This window comes from Homo sapiens, chromosome X, assembly GCF_000001405.40.
Source record: "Homo sapiens chromosome X, GRCh38.p14 Primary Assembly".
Lineage (NCBI taxonomy): Eukaryota > Metazoa > Chordata > Mammalia > Primates > Hominidae > Homo > Homo sapiens.
This window is the reverse complement of record NC_000023.11, coordinates 84,421,319-84,446,899: the sequence shown is the minus strand read 5'-3', so window position 1 is coordinate 84,446,899 and position 25,581 is coordinate 84,421,319. Positions and strand designations below refer to the sequence as shown.

General features: G+C 32.9%; 1 protein-coding gene across 13 annotated transcripts in view; it reads left to right on the top strand.

Annotated features, from left to right (window-relative positions):
- Nucleotides 1–25,581, top strand: part of HDX (highly divergent homeobox) — a 184,576-nt gene that overhangs the window by 55,554 nt on the left and 103,441 nt on the right. For 9 of the 13 annotated variants that reach the window (XR_001755652.2, XR_938392.2, XM_017029274.2 and 6 more), the window contains one exon: nucleotides 6,315–6,368. The exons of the other annotated variants lie outside the window; for them this stretch is intronic. Coding sequence is in view for 7 of the 9 variants with exons in the window: in XM_017029274.2 (XP_016884763.1) it covers nucleotides 6,315–6,368 (54 nt within the window). In the remaining 2 variants the exon portion in view is untranslated. The remainder of the gene's footprint in view (nucleotides 1–6,314; nucleotides 6,369–25,581) is intronic. 13 annotated transcript variants of the gene reach the window in all.

The following is a 25,581-nucleotide window of genomic DNA, read 5'->3' as shown; positions in this document are numbered from 1 at the left end:
CTCTCTTACTCACAGAAGAGACTGGGGATCAGGCCACCACACTTCCCCCAAACTGTGCCCTGCCATACCAGGAAAGGGTGCAACAAGGCAAATAAAAACACTGTGAAATCTCCTACTATTTTGAATGTGACATTTTCTTGATTGTACACTCAATTGGTTGCTGTGAATATGGTTTCAAGAACTAGTATAAAGTTGTTTCAACTAGTCACTAGTTGTTTATTTAATATTTACATGGGAGGACAAGGATCTATAGCTACCTAGGCCTTCATCTTGCTTACTTCTTTCTGCTGGTTTTTTTTTTAATTACAGAATAAATGTATCAGTCCATACAGTGTTAATGCAACAAACAGACATTGTGTTTGATTTATTTTAAAAACCTATCTTTTGGTTCAACATGTAGTCATATGCAAAGAAAAGATACAGAGTTGTGATTCATGGTAACCATTCTATTCCAGCCCAGTAAATATGGGTAGCCTGACAAAAGCAATAAATCTTTTGTTGTTTGATGAACTGATCTCTGAATGTGCATGTAATACACTGCTTCATTTCAACTATATAAATGTATTTAGAATTTAAAGCTAACATTGACAATTTATATTCTGAAATTAGTAAAGAGCTTTTTTATTTCCCAAATTTCTATTTTTTTACCTGAGTAGAATTAATATAATATTTTATTTACAATATGCTAGAGAACATAATTTTAGGGGCTCTAGATTTGTGATTGTTTATTCTTTAGTGCCTTTGGATAAGAAGATAAACATTCCACATATTAACTTACATTATTTTATTTTTATCTTCCATTATTTTTAACAGGGAATATCTCAAGAATCAGTAGGACGAATTTGGTTTGTAATGTTACATCTGAGTACCTTTTATAATTCTGAAACATCTTAGAATTTTATAATTCTGAAACATCTTAGAATTCTAGTTTCCCTGATTTTAATTTCTTGTAGTTTGTAAAATTTTACTACTATGTATAAAAACAAATTTCAAATAGCATTTTGGTTTTCAATTAGATGAACTTTCCAGGCTAATAGTTTTCTAAGCACCAGATTTCTATCACATAATAGAAGAAAAATTCATATGCTTAAAAATATGTTAGTTGTTTATCCAAAAGTTGTAGCATTGAAACTTTAATTTGTAAAGGCATTCTAATTTCTGAAAACTTTTCTGAAGACTTTGTAGAGAGAAAAGAGGAAAATATTTTATATACACCAAGACATCTTTTTTTCTTTGCTCCAGAACACATTGTTCTCAATCATAAATAATTTACTCCCCTCCTCCACAGCTCCTTACCCCATGCATTAGTCTCATATATATTGTCACTCTTGGCTTTTTGTTAAATTTCAGCAAATTACAGCTAGTGAATAATAAATGCCCAAGTTAATTCAATTAGTCAATCAGTAAATATTTATTGAGTGCTATCATATGCCCAGCAATGTTCTCTGTGCTGTACACCTCATAGTTGAAAAAAAAAATTAGGAAACTCTGCCTATTAAAGCAGAGTGATTGATAGGTTTCTATGCTCAGCTAATACTAAAACAACTGATGGAAAGCTAAAACACTGATTTATGAGTCTCTTACTGCTGAATTCTTTTGAGAGGTCTGGTTATTTCTTGATTGCTTCATTTAATCAAATACCATTTAACAAAATGCTAAGTAATCAAATACTCCATTTTCCTGGCTCACATAAAATGCAGTATATATCAGATAGTAGCTTTTCTAGCCTCATAAGTTGGTCTCAGATTTTTAAAATAGGATGTTCAACATATACATAGAATTGTCTTTACAACATATTTTTGAAATCAAATGAATGTTTTTAACATATAATCTCTGTGTGACTACATAAAATAATTAGAATAAATTTTTAAAACTTGGTATTTTGCTCTTGACAATCTAATAATCTAGCAGAAACATTAAAGCGGATTCATATGTGGGGTCTAAATTGTGTAAAATAAAACAGCAAAAATTCCTTTAAGAATACCTAAATCATCTATAAAACTTAACTATTTGCATGCCTTCTTATGAATGTACAACCATGTACAGTAATGAAGACATATCATATATAATTGATATCTTGATATGTAGAGTCTATTTAAAGTATGATTTTACATGAGACTGGCAAGTGTGTTATAGTTGAATTCACGAACCTTAAGTATACATTTGATGTGACTCCAGTATACATCTAAATAAGTGCATTATTTTCGTTGTGTATCCACTCTTAGCCATGAGATGCAGATTTCCAACAGTAAGTACACTTTCTTTCATTTACTTTTAAAGTTGCAATTCTCCGTTAGCTCCAGCAGACCAGGCACTCTGGGAAGCAGTTAGCCATAACAGGACTATTTCCATTATCTCCAGACTATTTAGTTCTCTTCTATCTTACACATAAGGCCTTTCTTCAGTAGTGTGCCTTATATTTCTCTTCTTAATTCCTACCTCCTTACCCTGGTTCCAAGCCTGAATTACTTCTCTTCCAAACTATTATAATAGTTTTTGTACTTCTTTAATTTACTGTACACACATAGACATCTAAGATTTGTACTGTATAAAAATACATTTCTGATCATACCATACGTCTGTTTGAATGCCCTCAATGGCTACCTATTTTCTACAGAATTAGATATAAATGCACTTTGCCATTCATGATCTCCACACAGGGACCTTAACTCCCCTTTCTAGTTCTAGTTGAACTGACCATTCCCCAAATACATCCTGTCTTTTTATTCCACCGTGCTCATGCCATTCTTTTTTTTCCCCTAAAAGGCTGATGTTTTTTATTTCTGTTAGAGTTCTACACATCTTTTAAGATTAAGCTATCAATTCACAAGTAGATGTAATTTTGTCATATTTTGAGCTCTTGTTGCACTTTATTTATTGTACCTCCCTTGTGACATTTAACAGTTTTCTTTGTAGTAAAGACATTCATGTACCTGTCTTATCTCTTACTCTCAAGCAATAGTTCTTGCTACCCAGGAAATTATCTTTTACTGATCTTTTATTTCCTGTAGCACTCTAAAACAGCACCACATATAGAAGAAATACCTGACTGGAAAGTTATATATACTTATTTCAGTAATGTTCGATTTTGTCAAAAGTTTTTGAAGTTCTTTCACAATTGCTTTAGGAGCTGGCGGAACTTTTTTAAGTGCTTCAGTAGTGACAAATAATTCTCATTTGAGGGAACATTTGATTTTAAAAAATAGCCAGAATTTATTCTAAGCCACGTTTAGTGACTAATATGAATGTTCAATTGGGGCTGTTATATTTTCAGTTAAAATAAAAGGAGTGCAATGAGACAAAATCTCTGGGTGAGGCATGAACTGATAATTCTAAAAGGAAAGTTCCCAGAATGCTTTGAATAATGTCAACATCATTGTAATGAGTTTATAACACTCCAAATTTTCTACTTGGAAATGTACAGCACTCTTTTGGATGTGTATGTTCTAATATATTTGTTAAATCAGTCTCATCTCGTTGAAGATTTATTTCATAGTTTTCCAAACCAGTCTGTTTAAAGTGAGTTTGGAATTGAAATATCATTTAAGTGAGATGTGTATTACCCGTCTAATCTGAATATTGCATTTCATAGCTTTTGGTGAATGAGAAATATACCATCAATATTTCACCAAATAAAGCTTCCCAAATTTGAGGAAAGACATTTATTCAAAAAAGCCTACAAATTCAATTACTCTGACCAGCTGTTCCTGAGTTCTACCAGAAATGTAATGAACTGAACAATGGATTTGAAGTAAACGTGAGAGATTAGTTAAATATAACATTTGAGTATCATGTAACTGCTGACACAGAATTATAAAACAAAAAAGTGAAACTTCTTCCAAAATCAGATGGAATTTATAATATTTGCATACTATGTGCTTATAGGAGTTTTGTATTTTCTTCCTTACACACAATTGACTTAAACAGAAAACCACATTTTATATTTCTCAAATGTATAGTCAGTGTTTATACAAATTCTATTACAATGTTTGTTGTATCATCTTTATCATTTCATATGTAATATTTTAGCAGTTACTGGTTTAAAGTTTTGTTTTGTTTGTAATTCATTTGGTTTATCATATATTTTCTAGAAATTCTATATGGTCAATTTTGAATTATTTTACTAATGGAAAAGAATATGTGAACAGATAATCCAAAACACTTGGTATCTATATTTTTTCTAGATTATATTATATTATTTAAGCGGATGTATTTCCCTCACTGAGGCTAACAATGAATTTTCAAACCCTAACACACATTGGTGGGATAAAAAGAAAAAATACATTTTGAATAATTTTTGAGAATAAATTTCCTATCACCTTCAGCTCATCATTAAAAAATCAATTATTCACACCTTCTCATTAACCCCTAGCATTCCAGTTAATTGCTATTTTACTGTAATAGTATTTTATCTTGAGTAAAAATATTTTTTATTTTTCCTTAAAAGTATTATTTGGAGTTTATATCATGTTTAGCTTATTCCTTGCATTTTGGCATACTTGTAACTCAAAGTAAAATGGCAGGTCTGGTGGCCAGGAATAGTAACAGCTTACCTGAAGTTTGAATAACTGAGAATATTAATTTACTATTCACATTGATCATCACTCCTTGTCAATAGGCATAATACTATTTAGGTCATTACTGCTTATAATTTATGAAAAACATTAAATATTTTATTGAATGCCTTGTTCTCACTTCAATGACCTACTGAGACTGATTTGCCTTGTCAGTCTCTCAGGAGGTATCTGTTTGGAAGGGAAGGAAAGAGCAAGTGAGAAGTACACCCCAATTCTTGTGTGTCCTATGATAAAGCATAGTTAAGTCCAGACTAACCTGAACCACAGGTAACAGACTACTTTGTCTTTGTAAATGCTCCCTAAAATCCCATTAGAGTAGCATCTGTCTACCTGTGTAGCAATGCTGAGGTAATAAGGTGTTACTGGCCATTTGTCTTAGTGGTTTCTACCTAAAAAAGGACTACCATACAGTTGAATAGGATTTGTAGGAAGATTATTTCAATTTTGGGTGTGAGTACTTAGGTAAATGAGAATGTATTGAACTTGAATATATCCATAACTACCACAATACCCTGCCCCATTAGTAAAGGTCAACATATTTCACCATTTCTGGGAAATTATCAGAAAGTATTTGCTCAAGTATAAAATACTTGTATAATATGCAAGAAATATCTCCTCAAGATTGCAACATTGCTAAACTTTACTACCAAAACTAGACACTGGGACATAATTCAAAAAGAACAAATTTTATCAAACACATTTTTATCTAGAGAGGTTTGATGTATATATAATAATGATTAAAGGTTTACTTTTTCTTTTTCAGTCATACATTATTTATGCAAAGAGAATATTTCATTAAACAAATGGGCTTATTAAAATATACAATTCACCATTTTGCAAGAAAGAGTATAGGGCATAGTGAATAGACTTCTATTGAGGCCACTATTTGGAGAAACATTGTTTCAGTCATTTATACTGTAGGTCTAAGATTTGTATTAAGAAAACACATGTAGCAATAAATCCATTAGTCAGTGCTGAGTTTACAAAGTAAATAGAGGTAATGTGTTTAAGTAGTTTATAGTGCACATCATTCATTATGAAGTCATCTCTTGCTTTGTGGTAAAGCCCTATTTAAAATATGACTACAGTAGTCCTCCCTTATCTATGGTTTTCTTTTTCATGGTTACAGTAACTTGCAGTGCAGTACAATAAGATATTTCGAGAAAGGCCACATTCACATAACTTTTATTACAGTACTTTGTCATAACTGTTTTATTTTATTATTATGTTCATTTCTTAACTAATTTATAATTCAACTTTTTCATAAGCATGTATGTATAAGAATAAATGTAGTATATATAGAGTTCAGTACTCTCTGCAGTTTCAGACATCCACTGGGTGTCTCAGAGTATATTATCTGTGGATACGGGGGCCTACTCTATTCTATACTTCTTGTAACTTCTTCACTTCAAAAAGCATTGAATTTTTATTATAACAAATGTATTATCTATAGATTTTAAAACTTGCAACAGAGTCCCAACAATCGTAGGGCCCCCAACAATGCCTTAGAACCTTTCTTTTGAATTCCCAGAAGTCTGCCCCACTTTTCAATTTTTTTCACCAAAAAAGACCCCTTAAAATCTGTTGAGTTCAATAAGGAAACAACATTTTATACGTGGGGAATATGTTCTGAATGCAGATTTATCTTGAAATAGTGTGTGAAATCTTTGGTGTTGATCAACATTCCAAGTACTGTCAATAAATAGCTTACTGAGATTCCATTTATTGTTTTCACAGATTTCAGGAAACCTTACTGTGCCTTGGATTACAGGGTGTTCTAGAAAAAGAGCAGTAAGTAATCTTTCATTTAAAGCAGCAAATGGGTTTCCCCTTGTGCTGTTAGTAAAAATGCCATTGAGAAAATTGCCATATTTGTAAAGCTGGCAAAACTGAACCTTGATAGGACTACATTGTCTCAAAGGACATTTTTCAAGATCATAATATTTACATATACTGCAAATGTAATCTTAATTATAATGTAGTACTCAGCACACCATATAATCCATGGGCAGTTTTCTCAGTTTTAAAAGTGACTCCAAAATAATTCATAAAATATGATTTTTCTACATCTAATCAACCCAATTAATTTGATCAATTGAATTATAATTTATATAAAATATCTCAATCAGTACTGCATAATTTCATTTACTATTTTCTTTTAGTGCAAGTCAGTATTTAGAAATGATGAGTAATTAAGGTTTACCAATCTTATTTTGTGCTCTAGATTTCTGATACAACTGTTGTAATTTTTAAAATGTCAGTATAACAGAACTTCAGTAAAATTGTGCTTCCTCAAAGAATCTCATTCATTTTTGTGTGTAAGACCAATAAATCTGCATTTTGGCAAATATCCCAGGAGATTTTGATGTGACTGGTCCCTATATAGGAAAAGATTAAGAGGCTTTAATCATAAAAGATACATGAATTGACTTTTAGAAAGACAAGTAATCCAAAGCAATCCTAAGCAAAAAGAACAAAACAGGAGATATCACATTCCTGACTTCAAACTATACTATGAGGCTACAGTAACGAACACAGCATGGTACTGATACTAAAACAGACACATAGACCAGTAGAACAGAATAAAGCACCCAGAAACAAAGCTGCACACCTTACAACTGTCTGATCTTTGACAAAATCAACAGAAATAATAAATAAGGAAAGGACTCCTTGTTCGATAAATGACACTGGAATAACTAGCTAGCCATGTGCAGAAGAATGATACTTGAACCCTACCTCTCATATGAAAATTAACTCAAGATGGATTAAATATTTAAATGTAAGACTGAAAACTATAAAAATCCTAGAGGAAAACCTAGGGAATACCCTGCTCAACATTGGCTTTGGCAGAGAATTTATGGCTAACTCACCAAAAACAATCACAACAAAACCAAAAATAGATAAATGGGACCTAATTAAACTCGAGCTTCTGCACAACAAAAAAAAAAAATTATGAACAGCATAAAAAGACAACCTACAGAATGGGAGAGAATATTTGTAAAATATGCATCTGACAAAGGTCTAACAGCCGGAATCTACAAGGAACTTAAACAAATCAACAAGCTAAAAATCAGTCTAAATAAAAATGGGCAAAAGACATGAACAGGCACTTTTCAAAAGAAGGTATACAAGAGGCCAACAAACATGAAAAAAACGTTGAACATCACTAGTCATCAGAGAAATGCAAATCAAAACCACAATGAGATACCATCTCTCACCAGTCAGAATAGCAATAATTAAAAAGGCAAAACAAAAAAACAAAACAAAAGAAAAAACCAGAACTGATTCTCCTCAGTCTATGGAGAAAATAAAATACACTGTTGCTGGGAATGCAAACTAGTTCAGCCACTGTGGAAAGCAGCTTGGAGATTTCTCAAAGAACTTAAAATATAACTACCATTTGACCCAGCAATGCCTCTACTGGGTATATACCCAAAGGAAAATAATTCATTCTATCATAAAGGCACATGCAGCCATATATTCATTACAGTGCTATTCACAATAGCAAGGTCATAAAATCAACCTAAGTGCCCATCAACAGTGAAGTATATGTGGTACATATACACCATGAAATACTATGCAGTCATAAAAATGAATAAAATCATGTCCTTTGCAGCAACATAGATGCAGCTGGAGGCTATTTTCCTAAATGACCTAATGCCAGAACAGAAAACCAAATACCGCATGGTCTCACATTTAAGTGGGAACTAAACATTGAATACACATGATCACAAAGATAAGAACAACAGACACTGGGGCTCACTAGATGTGGGAGGGAGGGAGGGGGTGTGGGCTGAAGAACCACCTGTTGGGTACTATACTTATGGTCTGGATGTGGGATCATTGGGACCTGAAGCCTCACTGTTATGCAATTTACTCATGCACATGTACACTTTAATTTATAATAAGAGTTGAAATTAGAAAAATAAGTAAATAAAAAGAAAGATAACCCAAGTTATTTTATAATGGATAGGATACATAAAAATGAAGCTAGGACTTCAGTATTGGCCAAGATTGTCTAATTCCTTTATCCATTTTCTTCCCCAAAAAGTAGAACTATAAACTGTGAAAATAATGTAAGAGGCCACCAAAGGAGAATTCTGAAAGGATGAAAGAATAAAATGACACATTAGGGACTCCAGGAATTAGAGGAACTACAGGGTGTCTTGGTCCCCCACTTAACATTAAAAGGGGATTCAAGCCAGGAACCTCATGTCTCCCACCTTAGCAATACAAGAAAGCTTTGGTAGGCTCATTCCCCATCCCCCATCTGCCACCAGTTGGAGCAGGAATTTCAAGAACAACATGAAGTGAGCCTGGCAACTCTGACAAAGAAGATTAACTGGAAGTTTTGCTGACAATAAGCAGTCAGGAGAGCTACTCTCTGTTCCTGCTAGACCAGGACGTTCTCTCCCACATCAGAAGACACCAGGCAGTAATATCAAGGAAGATACTGACACAAAGAGTAGCTTAGTCTCTTGACTCCTGGAAGCAAGATAATTACTTCCTCTACCTAGAGATAAAAGTGGCTTATTGGCAACAGGAAGAGGGAACAAGCCACAATGGGCAACTAGTCTAAAAAGTGTGCTATGTATTCCTGAAGGATGGAGATTCCATTTTCCACCGAAGGACACTAGTTTGTTGGGCAACACCAATGGGGGTAGGTATCTCCTCACATGTGCCTGGTCTAGATCAGCTCCTTCTGTCCTCTTAGGTGGCACCAGTAGGGATTACTGGAAGCTCTAGTGGAACTAGGTAAATCAAGCAGATGAAAATAACACCACAGAAGTTATGAAAGTTGAACTATTATTGGAACCATAGCCAATAAAAGTAGGCCAGGACTTGCATGTTAAACATAACCTGGTGACTGCCTGCAAAATGTTTTTAAAAAGCCAAGCATGATTATATGTGCCTGTAGTCCCAGCTACTTGGGAGGCTGAGGTGGGAGGATTGCTTGAGCCCAGTAGTTCAAGTCCAGACTAGGCAACATAGCAAGGTCCTGTCTCTTAAAAAAAAAGTCTCCTAAGGTAGTGACCAAAGTAGACTGGAAACAATTCAAGATTGCTCCTTGAATTAAATTATTACCTTTATTACTATATAATGTTTGCCTTTGTCTCTTTTTACAGCTTTTTACTGAAGTTTGTTTTATCCAATATAGATACAGTTACTCATACTTGCTATTGGTTTCTATTTGCAAGGAATATCATTTTCCATCCTTTAACTTTCATTCTATGCATATCTCTACAGGTGAGGTGAATTTATGTAGACAGCATATAGTTGGATAAATATATATGCATCCAATACTGGAGGACCCACATAGAGCAATTATTACTAGATCCAAAAGGACAGATAGACTGTAATACAATAAATGTTGAGAACTACAATGCCTCACTCTCAGTATTGGACAGATCATCTAGAAAGAAAATTAACAACAACAACAACAAAAACACGCAATGCATTTAAACTGCACCATGGACAAAAAAAAAAAAATCCCAGCAAACATTTACAAAACATTTTCATCCAACGGCTGCAGAATACACATTAATCAGCACATGGTGTATTCACTAGGATTAACTATAGGTTAGGACACAGACAAGTCTCAACACATTTTTAAAAGTTAAAATCGTATCAAATATCTTATCTGACCACAATGGAATAACACTGAGCATCAATAATAGAGAAACATTTGAAGCTATACAAATACATAGAAAATAAACAACATGCTCCTGAATGACTAACGGGTGAAAGGAGAAAATAAGAATACAATTTTAAAATTTCTTGAAGCAAATGAAAATAGAAACACAACATACCAAAACCTATGGGTCACAGCAAAGGCAGTATTAAAGCCAAGTTAATAGCAATAAATGTCTACATCAAAAACTAGAAAAAAAATCAAATAATCAAGTTAAAATGCATTTTTCTTTTTTTTTATTATACTTTAAGTTTTAGGGTACATGTGCCATGCTGGTGCGCTGCACCCATTAACGCGTCATCTAGCATTAGGTATATCTCCCAATGCTATCCCTCCCCCCTCCCCCCACCCCACCACAGTCCCCAGAGTGTGACATTCCCCTTCCTGTGTCCATGTGATCTCATTGTTCAATTCCCACCTATGAGTGAGAATATGCGGTGTTTGGTTTTTTGTTCTTGCGATAGTTTACTGAGAATGATGGTTTCCAATTTCATCCATGTCCCTACAAAGGACATGAACTCATCATTTTTTATGGCTGCATAGTATTCCATGGTGTATATGTGCCACATTTTCTTAATCCAGTCTATCATTGTTGGACATTTGGGTTGGTTCCAAGTCTTTGCTATTGTGAATAGTGCCACAATAAACATACATGTGCATGTGTCTTTATAGCAGCATGATTTATAGTCATTTGGGTATATACCCAGTAATGGGATGGCTGGGTCAAATGGTATTTCTAGTTCTAGATCCCTGAGGAATCGCCACACTGACTTCCACAATGGTTGAACTAGTTTACAGTCCCACCAACAGTGTAAAAGTGTTCCTATTTCTCCACATCCTCTCCAGCACCTGTTGTTTCCTGACTTTTTAATGATCCCTTCCTTACACCTTATACAAAAATCAATTCAAGATGGATTAAAGATTTAAACGTTAGACCTAAAACCATAAAAACCCTAGAAGAAAACCTAGGCATTACCATTCAGGACATAGGCGTGGGCAAGGACTTCATGTCCAAAACACCAAAAGCAATGGCAACAAAAGCCAAAATTGACAAATGGGATCTAATTAAACTAAAGAGCTTCTGCATAGCAAAAGAAACTACCATCAGAGTGAACAGGCAACCTACAACGTGGGAGAAAATTTTCGCAACCTACTCATCTGACAAAGGGCTAATATCCAGAATCTACAATGAACTCCAACAAATTTACAAGAAAAAAACAAACAACCCCATCAAAAAGTGGGCAAAGGACATGAACAGACATTTCTCAAAAGAAGACATTTATGCAGCCAAAAAACACATGAAAAAATGGTCATGATCACTGGCCATCAGAGAAATGCAAATCAAAACCACTATGAGATATCATCTCACACCAGTTAGAATGGCAAGCATTTTTCTTAAGTAAGTAGAAAATCAAGAACAAGCCAGATCCAAAATTAGTAGAAGGAAAGAAATAATAAAGATCAGAGAACTAAATGAAATGGAAACTAAAAAATATATAAAATATCAATGAAACAAAAAGTTTTCTGAAAAGATAAGCAAAATTGACAAATCCTTAACTAGACTAAGAAAGAAATAGAGAAGACCCAAGGAAATAAAATCAGAAATGCAAAAGGAGATGTCATACTGGATACCAAACAAATAAAAAGGATCATTAAAACTACTATGAACAGCAACATGCCTAAAAATTAGAAAACCTGAAAGAAATGAATAAATTTCTGGATACATATGACTTACTAACATTGAACCAAGAAGGTAAAGAAAATCTGAAGGGACAAATAAAAATAATGAGATTCAGTTAATAATAAAAAGTTTTCCAAAAAATAAAAGTCCAGGATTGAATGGCTTCATCACTGAATTCTACCACACCTTTAAAGAAGAATTATTACCAGTTATTCTCAAACTATACCAAAACATCGAAGTGGAGATAACTCTTCCTATCATATTCTATGTGGCCAGCATAACCCTGATACCAAAAGCATAAAATGATACAACCGAAAAAGAAAACAACAGGCCAATATCACTGAAGAACATAGATACAAAAATCCTCAATAAAAAACTAGCAAAATTAATCCAATAATATATCAAAAAATATGCCATGATCAAATGAGATTTATCCCAGGAAAGCAAGAATGGTTTAACATACACAATCAGTAAATATGTTACATCACATGAATAGAATGAAGAAAAAAACATTATCTCAATAGATGCAGAAAAAGCATTTGATAAAATTCAGCATCCATTATTTATTTGAATTCTTGATAAATTAAATATAGAAGAAAATACTTCAACACAACAAAGGTCATATATGAAAAATTCACAGCCTAAATAATACTGAATGGAAAAAGGGTGAAAGCCTTTCTTCTAAGAATTGGAAAAAAACAAAGATTCCCACTTTTATCAATTCTATTCAGCATAGTACTAAAAGTCTTGGCCACGGTGATTAGGTAAGATTAAAAAAAAAGGCATCCAAATTGGAAAGGACAAATTAAAATTATCCTTTTTTAACAGACAATGTAATCTCATACATAGAAAAACTTAAAGACTCAAACACAAAACTCTTAAAACTGGTAAGCAAATTCAGTAAAGTTGCAGGATACAACATCAACATACATATTCAGTAGCATTTTTATGCGTAAACAACAAACAGGATGAGAATTAAATCAAGAAGACAATGCTATTTACAAAAACTGAAAGAAATAAAATGCCTTGAAATAAATTTAACCAAGGAGTTGAAAGAACTGCAATTAAAAAAAACAAAACATTGATGAAAGGAATTGAAGGATACACAAATAAATAGAAACACATTCCAAGCTCATGGACTGGAAGAATTAATATCATTAAAATGACTATACGGCCCACAGGAATCTACAGATTCAATAAAATATTTATCAAAGTACCAATGAAATGTTTTATGGAAATAGAAAAAATAATCCTAAAATTTATATGGAACCAAGGAAGAGCCAGAATAGCCAAAGCAATACTGAGTAAAAAGAACAATGCAGGAGGCATCACACTACCAAACGTCAAAATATGCTACAAAGCTGTAGTCACCACAAAAGTATGGTTTTGATATAAAAACGAACACATAGAACCATAAAACAGAGGAGAGAACATATAAATTAATTCACGTACTTACAGCCAGATGATTTTTGACAAAGGTGCCAAGAGCACTCGCTGGGAGAAGAAAGCCTTCTATAAATGGTGATGGAAAAACTGGATATTCACCAGCAGAAGAATGAAATTAGACCTCCTCTCACACAAAAAATAAAAATCAACTACAAATGGATCAAATACCTAAATGAGAGACCTCAAGCTACAAAGCTACTAGAAAGAAACATAGGTAGTGTGCTTCAGGACATTTTCCCAACAAATAGAACAAACAGCAGGTCAGGAAAACATTTTATCAATAAGACCTCAAAGGCACAGGCAACAAGAGAAAAAATAAATCGGATTGTATCAAACTAAAACGTCTCTGCATAGCAAAGCAAACAACAGAGTTAAAGGTCAACCTAAAGAATGGGAAAAATATCTGTGAACTGCTCACCCAACAGCAGATTAAGATCCAGAATATTTTTAAAAACTGCAACATCTCAACAGAAAAAAAATCAAATTTTTAAAGAAATAAGTAACCTGAAAAGATATTTCTCAAAGAAGACAAAAAAATGGCCAACAGGTATGCTGACATTATACTGATTGGGCAAAAGCTGGAAGCATTCCCCTTGAAACCCAGAGCAACACAAGAATGCCCCCTCCCACCACTCCTATTCAACATAGTGCTGGAAGTCCTGGCCAGAGCAATCAGGAAAGAGAAAGAAATAAAAACCATCCAAGTAGGAAGAGAGAAAGTCAAACTATCTCTGTTTGCAGATGATATGGTTCTATACCTAAAGAACCCCATAGTCTCTGCCCAAAAGCTCCTTTATCTGATAAATAATGTAAGCAGAATACAAGATACAAAAGCAGTGTACAAAAATCAATAACATTTCTATACAAAAACAACATCCAAGCTGAGAGCCAAATCAGGAACACAATCCCATTCACATTAACCACAAAAAAAACCTAAGAATACAGCTAACAAGAGGGGTGAAATATCTCTACAATGAGAATTACAAAACACAGCTGTAGGAAATCAAAGATGACACAAATAAATGGAAAAACATTCTATGTTCATGGATAGGAAGAATCCATATTGTCAAAATGGCCACCTGCCCAAAGCAATCCACAGATTCAATGCTATTCTGATCAAACCTATGACATTCTTCACAGAATTAGAAAAATCTGTTTAAACATTTGTATGGAACCAAAAATGATCCCAAATAGCCAAAGCAATCCTGAGCAAAAATAACTAAGCCAGAGGCATCACATTACTTGACTTGAAACTATACTAGAAGACTACAATAAGCAAACTGTCATGGTATTGGTACAAAAACAGACACATAGACCAATGGAACAGAATAGAGAGCCCGGAAATAATGTTGCATACCTACAACCATCTGATCTTTGACAAAGTTGGCAAAAACAAGCCATGAGAAAAAGATTCCATATTCAATAGATGATGCTAGAATAACTGACTAGTCACATGTAGAAGATTGAAACTGGAATCCTTTCTTATACAATATAAAAAAAATCGACTCAAGATGGATTAAACACTTACATATAAAACCTATAACTATAAAAACCCTGAAAGATAGCATAGGAAATATTCTGTACATAGGACTGAGCAAAGACTTCATGATGAAAATGCCAAAATCAAGAGTAATAAAACCAAAAATTAACAAATGGGACCAAATTAAACTGAAGAGCTTCTGCACAGCAAAAGGAACTTTCAACAGAGTAAACAGACAACCTACAGAATGGGAGAAAATATTTGTAAACTATGTATCCAACAGAGATCTAAATGTCAAGAAACTATAAGGAACTTAAACAAGTTTATAGGCAAAAAACAACCCCATTAAAAAGTGGGCAAAGAACATGAACAGTCACTTTCAAAAGAATATATACAAATAGCTAAAATGCATATGAAAATGCTCATAATCATTAGAGAAATGCAAATCAAAATCACAACAAGATATCTCACACTAGTCAGAATAGCTATTATTTAAAAATCAAAACATAAGAGATGCTGGAGAGGTTGTGTAGAAAAGGGAACACTTATACACTGCTAGTAGGAATGTCTATTAGTGCAGCCATTGTGGAAAGCACTTTGGCGATTTCTAAACGAACTTAAAACAGAATTACCATTTGACTCAGCAATCTCATTATTTAGTATATACCCAAAGGAATGTACATCATTCTACTATAAAGACACATGCATGTGTATGTTCATCACAGCACTATTCACAATAGCAAAGACATGAAATCAACCATAAGTGCCCATCAATGGTTGACTAAATTTAAAAATGTGGTACATATACACCATCAAATGCTACGTGGCCATAAAAAAAAAGGCAATATGGATGGAGCTGGAGGCCATTACCCTAAGCGAACTAACACAGGAACAGAAAACAAAATACCACATGGCCTCACTTACAAGTGAAAACTAAACATCAAGTACATATGGACAAAAAGAAGGGATAACAGACAATAGTACCTACTTGAAGGTGGAAGGTGGGAGGAAGGTGAGGATAAAAAATCTACCTATCATATACTATGCTTATCGCTGAGTGACAAAATAATCTGTACTCTAAACCCCTGTGATATGCAACTTACCTAAATAGCAAATGTGCACACGTATTCTTAACCTAAAATAAAAGTGTAAACTTGTTAAATTTAAAAAAAAGAGAGAAAAAGAGAAGAAAGAAAGAGGGAGAAAGAAAGAAATCATCAACAAGTATATGAAAAAATGTTCAACATTACTAATCATGAGGAAAATACTAATCAAAACCACAATGTATTAACACCTTACTTTATTAGGATGACAATTATCAAAGAGACCAAAAAAAAAATCACAAATACTGGCGAGGATGCAGAGAAAAGATCTCTCTTATAAATTGTTGGTGGGAATTTAAACTAGTACAACCACTATGGAGAACAGCTGGAGGTTACTCAAAGAAATATGAGTAAAACTACTATATGATCCAGCGATTCCACTACTGGGTAGTTATCCAAAGGAAAATAAATCATTTCATAGAAGAGACATCTGCACCAATATGTTTATTGCAGCACTAATTCACAATAGCCAAGATATGGAGTCAACTTAGGTGTACAACAACAGATGAATGGATAAAGAAAATGTGGTATATATACACAATTGAATACTATTCAACCATAAGAAAGAATTAAATTCTGTCATTCATATCAACATTGATGGAACTATAAGACATTATTTTAAATAAAATAAGTCAGGAACAGAAAGTTAAACACCACATGTTCTCACTCATATTTGAAAGCTAAAAAAAGTAATCTCATAGAAGCCAAAGTAGTACAGAAGATATTAGAGGCTGGAAATAGTAAAGCGAAAGGGATGATATGAAGAGATTTGTTAAAGGAGACAAAATTACAGCTAAATAAGACTAAGCTCTAGTGTTCTATACCACTGTAGGATGACTATGGTTAAAAATTAGTTATTAGTATCAAATAGCTAAAAGAAGGATACTGAATGTTCCCAAAACAAATAAGTGATAAATATTTGAGAGGATGGATATGATAATAACACTGATCTGATCACTATACATGAAATGTATCAAAACATAGCTATGTACCCCACAAATATGTGCAATTATTATTTGTCTATTTAAATATACAGCTAGTTTTTTTAAAAAATTGTCCTTTCCATTGCAAAAAAAATGGACCTTTCTCAACTTTGTAGAATGTATGTATAAAAACCATGTACTTAACGTTATACTTAGTGGTGAAAGAGTGAATACCTCCCCACTAAGGTCAAGTAAAAGTCATGGATGTCCCCTTTTACAATTTATATTCAATATTTTACTGGAGGTTCTAGACAATGCAGTAAGGCAAGAAAAATGTAAGGTATCCAATCTAGAAGAGAAGAAATGAATGTGTCTTTATTTCCAGAAGACATGATAATTTATATATAAAATCCCATGGTATTTAATTTAAAAAGCTACTAAGGCTAATAAGTGAGATTAACAAAATTACAGGATACACGTTCAATACACAAAAACCAATTGTGTGTTTATAAACTACCAAAAAATAATCAGAAATTGAATTTTAAAAACATATTTGAAAATAACGTAAAATATGAAATACTGAGGGATAAATCTGACAAAAGCTATGCAAAACCTCTGCCCTGAAAACTATAAAATATTTGTGAAAAAATTTAAAGTGTTTTAATGGAGAGATATGCCTTTTTTCCATGGGACAAAATTTCTAATATGCTAAGATATCATTTTCCCTACAATTATTTATAGATTTAAAACAATTTTAATCAAAATTTCAGGTCACTTTTTTGTAGGAAATTACAAACTGATTTTTAAAACTTATATGGTAATTAAAATTACTTAGAAATAGCCAAAACAACTTTGAAAAAACATATAATTGACAGGATAACACTTCATGTTTTCAAAACTTATTACAATGCTATAGGAATAAAAACAGTGTATTATTGGAGTTAGATGAATAAATCAGTGAAATAGGATATGGAGTTAGGCAACTTATTTTTTAAAAAAGTTGTGAATTCAGTTCAGTGGAAACAGGGTAGTCTTTTCAACAAATGGTTTTAAAATGATTGAATATCCCCATGCAAAAAATGAATTTTGGTCCATAGCGCGCACTATATATAAAAATTAACTCAAAATGGATCGTAGACATAATCATAGGAACTACAGTTATTTTACACACCTAGAATAAAACATAGAGAAAAAATTGCCACTTTTGGCTAGGCAAAGATTACTTAGATTTCACATTAAAAGCATGATTCATAAAATAGCAAATTGATAAATTAGAATGTATCACAATCAAAAACTCCTGCTTCTCTGAAGACACTGTTTCCTTGGAATAGAGTGAAACTTCCTTACCTGTTAAAATACATCTATGGAAAGCTTATTGTCAGTTAACTACTGACACATGTTGCATCATGTATGAACCTCAGAGATATTATGTGATTTCTATTATGTGACAGAAACCAGACACATGACATCACATATTGTATGATTCTATTTATGTAAAATGTCCGCGAAAGACAAATACAAATTCATAGAGACAGAAAGTAGACGAGAGTTTTCTGGGGCTAGGGATGGGAATGTGAAGTAAATGGAAATGAACATGAGAGATATTATTGGGGAAATTAAAATGTTCTAATACTTACATGTGATGTTTGCACAACTCAATAAAGTTATTAAAAATAATTGAATTGTACCCTTGAAATGGGAAAATTGTGTTATATGTCAAATGTACTGCAATGAAGTTATTTTATAGAAAGACAGGGTTATGATAATGAAAAGACAAGCCCAAATAGAGAGAACATAGAAGATCTATCTGATAAAAGGATCTGTTTCTAGAATATACAAAGAATACTCAAAACTCGATAAGGGAACAAACCCGATAAAAAATGGGCTAAAAACTGAAAGACACTTCACCAAAGGAGATATAGAGATGGCAAATAAGCAGATGAAAAGGTGCTTAATACCATTAATCATAAGCGAAATGTAAATTTAAACTACAGTGCGCCCAGTACACACACACTAGAATGGCTAAAATTAAAGACTGATCATACCAAGTGTTGATGAGGATGTGGAAGAATTGGAACCCTGAGACTGCCAGAAATGTTAAAACACTCTTTAAAACAGTTTGACAATTTCTAAAAGAGTTAACCATGCATTCATCCTATCATCCAGCTATTCTACTGATATGTATTTTACCCAAGATAATTTATAGCACATATCCATACAAAGCCTTGTCCATAAATGTTTATATCAGCTTTATTTATAATAACCAAAACCTGGAAACAAACCAACTGTTCACTAACAGGTAAATGAACAAATTGTGCATTTCTATATAGGAAAAAAACTACACAACAATTTAAAAAATGAACTGTTGATATGCCCAACAATGTGAATGAATCTCAACATAATCATGACAAGTGAAGGAAACCAGATTAAAAAGAGAGCACATACTGTATGCCTTGATCTATATAAAACTATTGAAAATGCAAACTAGTAATCATAATCATTCATTGACTGGTGAGACAGAAGAAAAGGAAAGGGAAAGTTGATTAACAGGAGGCATTAGAAAACATTGGGGCGTGATGTTTATGTTCATTGTCTTGATTTGGTGATAGTTTCTTTAGTGCATACAGATATCAAAACATCTAATTGTACAGATTAAATATATGCAATTTATTGTATGTTAATTAAACCTAAATAAAACTCTTAAAAGCGATTCCTAATTCAATTATTGGAGAACCCAGGTATTTGAATCTACTTCTTGAACTGTAAATCTTATGAAATGTAATGTAGATCAAGCTTGTGTGATGAATACTTAGTCTTCAAATTAACAAGTACTGTAGGTGCAAAATACATATTTGATTTCAAAGAACTACTATGATAAAAAATATGTACAATATTCCGTTAATATTTTTTATAAATTCTGGTAAGAACACAACACGAAAGCTACTATCTTAAAAATTATAAGGGGCAAAATACAGTTTTGTTAATTATAGGCATGATGTTGTACAGCAGATTTCCGGAACACACTCACCTTTTCTCAGCTTCTATTTTTAACATTTTTATTTTTAAAATAAAATTGTATATATTTAAGGTGTATAATGTGATGTTTTGATATAGATATACATAATGAAATGATTACTACACTCAAGCAATTAGCATATCTATCTCCTCACATAGTTACTATTTGTTATTTTGGGGAGAGCAACTGAAATCTACTCTGTGAAATCACTTGAAAATATACAGCACAGTTTGATTAAATATTGTCACCATGCTATACATTAGATCTCTATATTTATTTATCCTACATAACTGCAACTTTATGCCTTTTGACCATCTTCCCATTTCCCCCATATCCCCCACCCCTAATAACCATTGTTCTACTTTCTACTTTTATGTGTTTGACTTGGTAAGATTCCAAATATAAGTGAAATCATGCAGTATTTTTCTTTCTGTGTCAGCCCTTATTTTACTTAGCATAATGTACTCCAGATTTACTTCTGTTGTCACAAATGTCAGTGTTTCTTTCTTTTTAAAGGCGGAAAAATATTTCATTATATATACCTTAATTTCTTTATTCATTCATCAGTTGACAGGCAATTATGTTGTTTTCATATCTTGGTTGCAGTGAATGACATGAGAGTGCAGATATCTCTTTGAGGTACTTATTTCATTTCCTTTAAGTATATAACTAGGAATGGGATTATCAAATTATATGGTAGTTCTATTTTTAATTTTCTGAGGAGTCTTCATACTGTTGTTCATAAAATAGCTGTACCAATATACATTCTCACTCCTAGTGTACGAGAGTTCCCTTTTCTCCACATACACGCCACTTGTGATGGTTTGACATTTTTAAAAGTCTGTTTTTCTTAAAATTTTTTAATTTTTAATTTTTGTTGGTGCATAGTAGGTGTATATATATATGGGGTGCATGAGATGTTTTGATACAGGCATGCAATGCTTAATAATCACATCGTATAGAATGGAGTATCCAAACTCTCAATCATTTGTTCTTTGAGTTACAAACAATATAATTATACTCCTTAAGTTATTTCAAAATAAATTACCATTAATTTATTATTGACTACAGTCACCCTGTTGTGCTATCAAATAGTAGGTCTCATTCATTCTATTTTTTTTTCACACATTAACTATCCTTACCCCTCCATCCCCTGTACCTCCCCACTACCCTTCCCAGCCTCTGGTAGCCATTCTTCTACTCTCTATGTTCATGCATTAAATTGTTTTGATTTGTAGATCCCACAAATAAGTGAAAACATGTGATGTTAGCCTTTCTGTGCCTGGCTTATTTCACTTCATGCTCTCTCCAGTTCCATCCATGTTGTTGCAAATGACTGAATCTCATTTTTTTCATTACTGAATAGTATTTCATTTTGTATATTTACCACATTTGCAGGATTCATTCATTTTCTGATGGACAGATGCTTCCAAATCTTAGCCATTGCAAACAGCGCTGCAACATAGGAGTGCAGCTATCTCTTTGATATACTGATTGCCTTCCTTTTGGATATACACACAGCAGTGGGACTGCTGGATCATGTGGTAGCTCAATTTTCAATTTCTTGTGGAACCTCCAAACTGTTCTCCATAGTGGTTGTACTAATTTACATTTCTACCAACATTGTACAAGGGCTCCCTTTTCTCCACATCCTCATCAGCATTTGTTATTGACTGTCATTTGGATATAACCCATTTTAACTGTGGTGAGATGATATCTTATTGTAATTTTGATTTGCATTTCTCTGATGATTAGTAATGTCGAGCACATTTTCATATATCTCTGTCATTTTTATGTCTTCTTTTGAGAAACACTGACTCAAATCTTTTGCCATTTTTTTGTTCAGATTATTAGATTTTTTTTCTATAAAATTGTCTGAGCTCCTTATATATTCTGGTTATTGATATCTTGCCAGATGGGTAGTTTGCAAATATTTCCTCCCATTCTCTGAGTGGTCTCTTCACTGTATTGATTGTTTCCTTTGCTGTGCAGAAGGTTTTTAACTTGATGTGATTCCATTTGTCCATTTTTGCATTGGTTTCCTCCCCTTGTGCGGTATTGCTCCAGAAATTTTTGCCCAGACAAATTTCCTGAAGATTTTTCCCAATTTTTTTTTTGTAGTAGTAGTAGTTTCATAATTTGCAGTCTTAAATTTAAGTATTCAATCCTTGATTTGATTTTTGTCTATGGTGAGAGATAGGGGTCTGGTTTCATTCTTCTGCATATGCATATCCGGTTTTCCCAGCACCATGTATTGAAGATATTGTCTTTTTCCCAGTGTATGTTCCTGGAAGCTTTGTCAAAAATGAGTTCCCTGTAGGTGTGTTGATTTGGATCTGAGTTCTCTATTCTGTTTCATTGATTTATGTGTCTGTTCTTATGCCAGTAACATGCTCTTTTAGTCACTATAGCACTGTAGTATAATTTGAAGTCAGGTAATGTGATTCCTCCATTTTTAATCTCTTTGCTTAGGATAAATTTGGCTGTTCTGGGTCTTTTGTGGTTCCTTGCAAATTTTAGATTTTTTTTTTTAAATTTCTGTGAGGAATGTCATTGGTATTTTGAATGGGATCGCATTGAATCTTTATTGCTTTGGGGATTATGTACACATTAACAATATTGATTCTTTCCATGAACATGGAGTATTTTTTTCATTTTTTGGTGTCCTCTCCATTGTCTTCCATCAGTGTTTTATAGTTGTCATTATTGTAAAGATGTTTCAGTTCTTTGGTTAATTTCTAGGTATTTAAGTGTATTTGTGTCCATTATAAATTGGATCACTTTTATTTCTTTTTCAGATTGTTTACTGTCGGCATTTAGAAATGCTACCGATTTTTGTATGTTGATGTTGTATCCTGTAACTTCACTGAATTTCTTTATTCCTTCTAATATTTTCTTGTGGAGTCTTTACATGATTCCAAATATAAGATCATATCATCTGCACACAAGCATAATTTGACTTCTTCCAATCCAATTCGGATGCCCTTTATATCTTTCTGTTGTCTGATTGCTCTAGCTAGGACTTCCAGGACTATGTTGAATAACAATGGTGATACTAGATATCTTTGTTATATTCAACATGTTAGAGGAAATCTTTCGGTTTTTCCCCATTCTGTATGATATTATCTGTGGGTCTGTTGTGTATGGCTTTTATTATGTTGAGATATGTTCCTATGTTCCTTCTATCACTAATTTTTTAAAGAGTTTTATCCTGAAGGGATGTTGAATTATATCAAATGCTTTCAGCAAGTCAACTGAAACGATCATAAAGGTTTTATACTTCATTCTGTTGATATGATATTTCACTTTGCTTGATTTTGTATGTTGAAACACCCTTGCATCTTAGGGGTAAATCTCACTTGGTCATGATGAATGATCTTTCTACTGTATTATTGAATTTAGTTTGCTAGTGTTTTGCTGAAAATTTTTTGTGTCAATATTCACCAGATATATTGGCCTGCAGTTTTCTCTCTCTCTCTCTTTTTTTTTTTTTTTTTTGATGTTTCTGTCTAGTTTTGGTTATCAGGGTAATACTTCACCCATAGAATGAGTTTGGAAGTATTCCCTTTTTCTGTATTTCTTGGAATAGTTTAAGTAGGATTGGTATTAGTTCTTCTTTAAGTGTTACAATTCAGTGTTGAAGCCATTAGGTCTAGGGCTTTTTGTTGTTGTCTTTTGTTTTTTGTTTTTGTTGTTAGTTAGTTTGTTTGTTTTTTCACTGGAAAGCTTTTTATTATGGCTTTGATCTCATTACTTGTTATTGGTCTGTTCAGGTTTTTAATATCTCCCTGGTTTAATCTTGTTAGATTATATGTTTCTAGGAATTTGATCATTTCTTCTAGATTTTCAGATTAATTTGTCATATAGTTGCTTATAGTAGCCACTGAGGATCCTTTAACTTTCTGCAGTATCAGTTGTAATGTCTTATTTTTAATTTCTGATTTTATTTATTTGTATTTTCTTTTTTTTAAATTTCTTAGCTTGGCTAAAGGTTTGTCAATTTTGTTTAACTTTTCAAAAAAACAACTTTTAACGCCTGTAATCCCAGCACTTTGGGAGGCCGAGGCGGGCGGATCATGAGGTCAGGAGATCGAGACCATCCTGGCTAACACGGTGAAACCCCATCTCTACTAAAAATACAAAAAATTAGCCAGGCATGGTGGCGGGCACCTGTAGTCCCAGCTACTCGGGAGGCTGAGGCAGGAGAATGGCGTGAACCCAGGAGGCGGAGCTTGCAGTGAGCAGAGATCGCACCACTGCACTCCAGCCTGGGTGACAGAGCCAGACTCTGTCTCAAAAAAAAAAAAAAAAAAAAAAACCTTTTATTTCATTGGTCTTTGGTATTGCTTTTTTAATTTCAAAAGCATTTATTTCTACTCCGATCTTTACTATTTATTTTCGTCTACTAATTTTGGGTTTGGTTTGCTCTTCCTTTTCAACTTAATTTTTTCACTTTAATTTAATTAATGTTTATTCAGATCCTTATAATTTCTTATGCTAATTTTGCATTTGATCTCTTCTGCTTTTCTAGTTCTTGGATGCATTTTTAGGTTGTTTGAAGATTTTTTTTCTTGATGTAGGCACTTATAAAATTCCCTCTTAATACTGCTTTTCCTGTATCCCATAGGTTTGGATATGTTGTGTTTCCTTTCTCATTTGTTGCAAGGAATTTTTCACTTTTCTTCTTAATTTCTTCATTGACCAACATGTCATTCAGGAACATATTGTTTAATTTCCATGTATTTGCATAGTTTCCAAAATTTCTTTTGTTATTTATTTCATTGTCAAAGAAGATGCTTGTTACTTTTTCATTTTTTGAATGTTTTAAGACTTGTTCTGTGACTGTTCATATGGCTGTTCTTGAGAATGATCCATGTGCTGAGAAAAAGAGTGTGTATTCTGCAGCTGCTGGATGAAATATTCATCCATTTGGTCTACACTGAAGATTATGTCTTTTTTTTTTTTTGTTGGTTCCTTGTCTCAAAGATCTTTCTAATGTTGACAGTTGTTTGTTAAAGTCTCCAATTATTACTGTATTGGAACCCATCTCTCTCTTTAGCTGTAATATTTGCTTTATATATGTGGGTGCTCCAGTGTTGGGTTCATATATATTTTAATTTCTTATATCCTCTTGCTGAATTATCATTATATAGTGACCTTCTTTGTCTCTTTTTATACTTTTTGTCTTGATATCTATTTTGTCTGATATAAATATAGTGACTCTTGCTCTTTTTTGATTTCCATTGGCATGGAATGTCTTGTTCTATCCCTTTATTTTCAGCCTATGTGTCTTTATAGATGAATGGTGTTTCTCGTAAGCAACAGATCAATGGTTTTTTTTTTTTTAATGCATTCAGCCAGTCTATGTCTTTTGATTGTAGGGTTTAGTCAATTTGCATTCAATGCTGTTATTGACAAATTAGGACTCACTTTGTCCACACTACTACTGTTTTCTGGTTATTTTACAGTTTTCTCTTCCTTCTTTCTTTTTTTCATGTCTTCCTCTACTGAAGGTAATTTTGCCTGGTAATACAATTTAGTTCTTGTATCCAATGTATCTTTTTTAGTTTGAGGTTGCCATGAGGCATTCAAATACTATTTTATAACCCATTATTTTAACCTGATAACAACTTAACCCTGCTTGCATAAACAAATGAGAAACA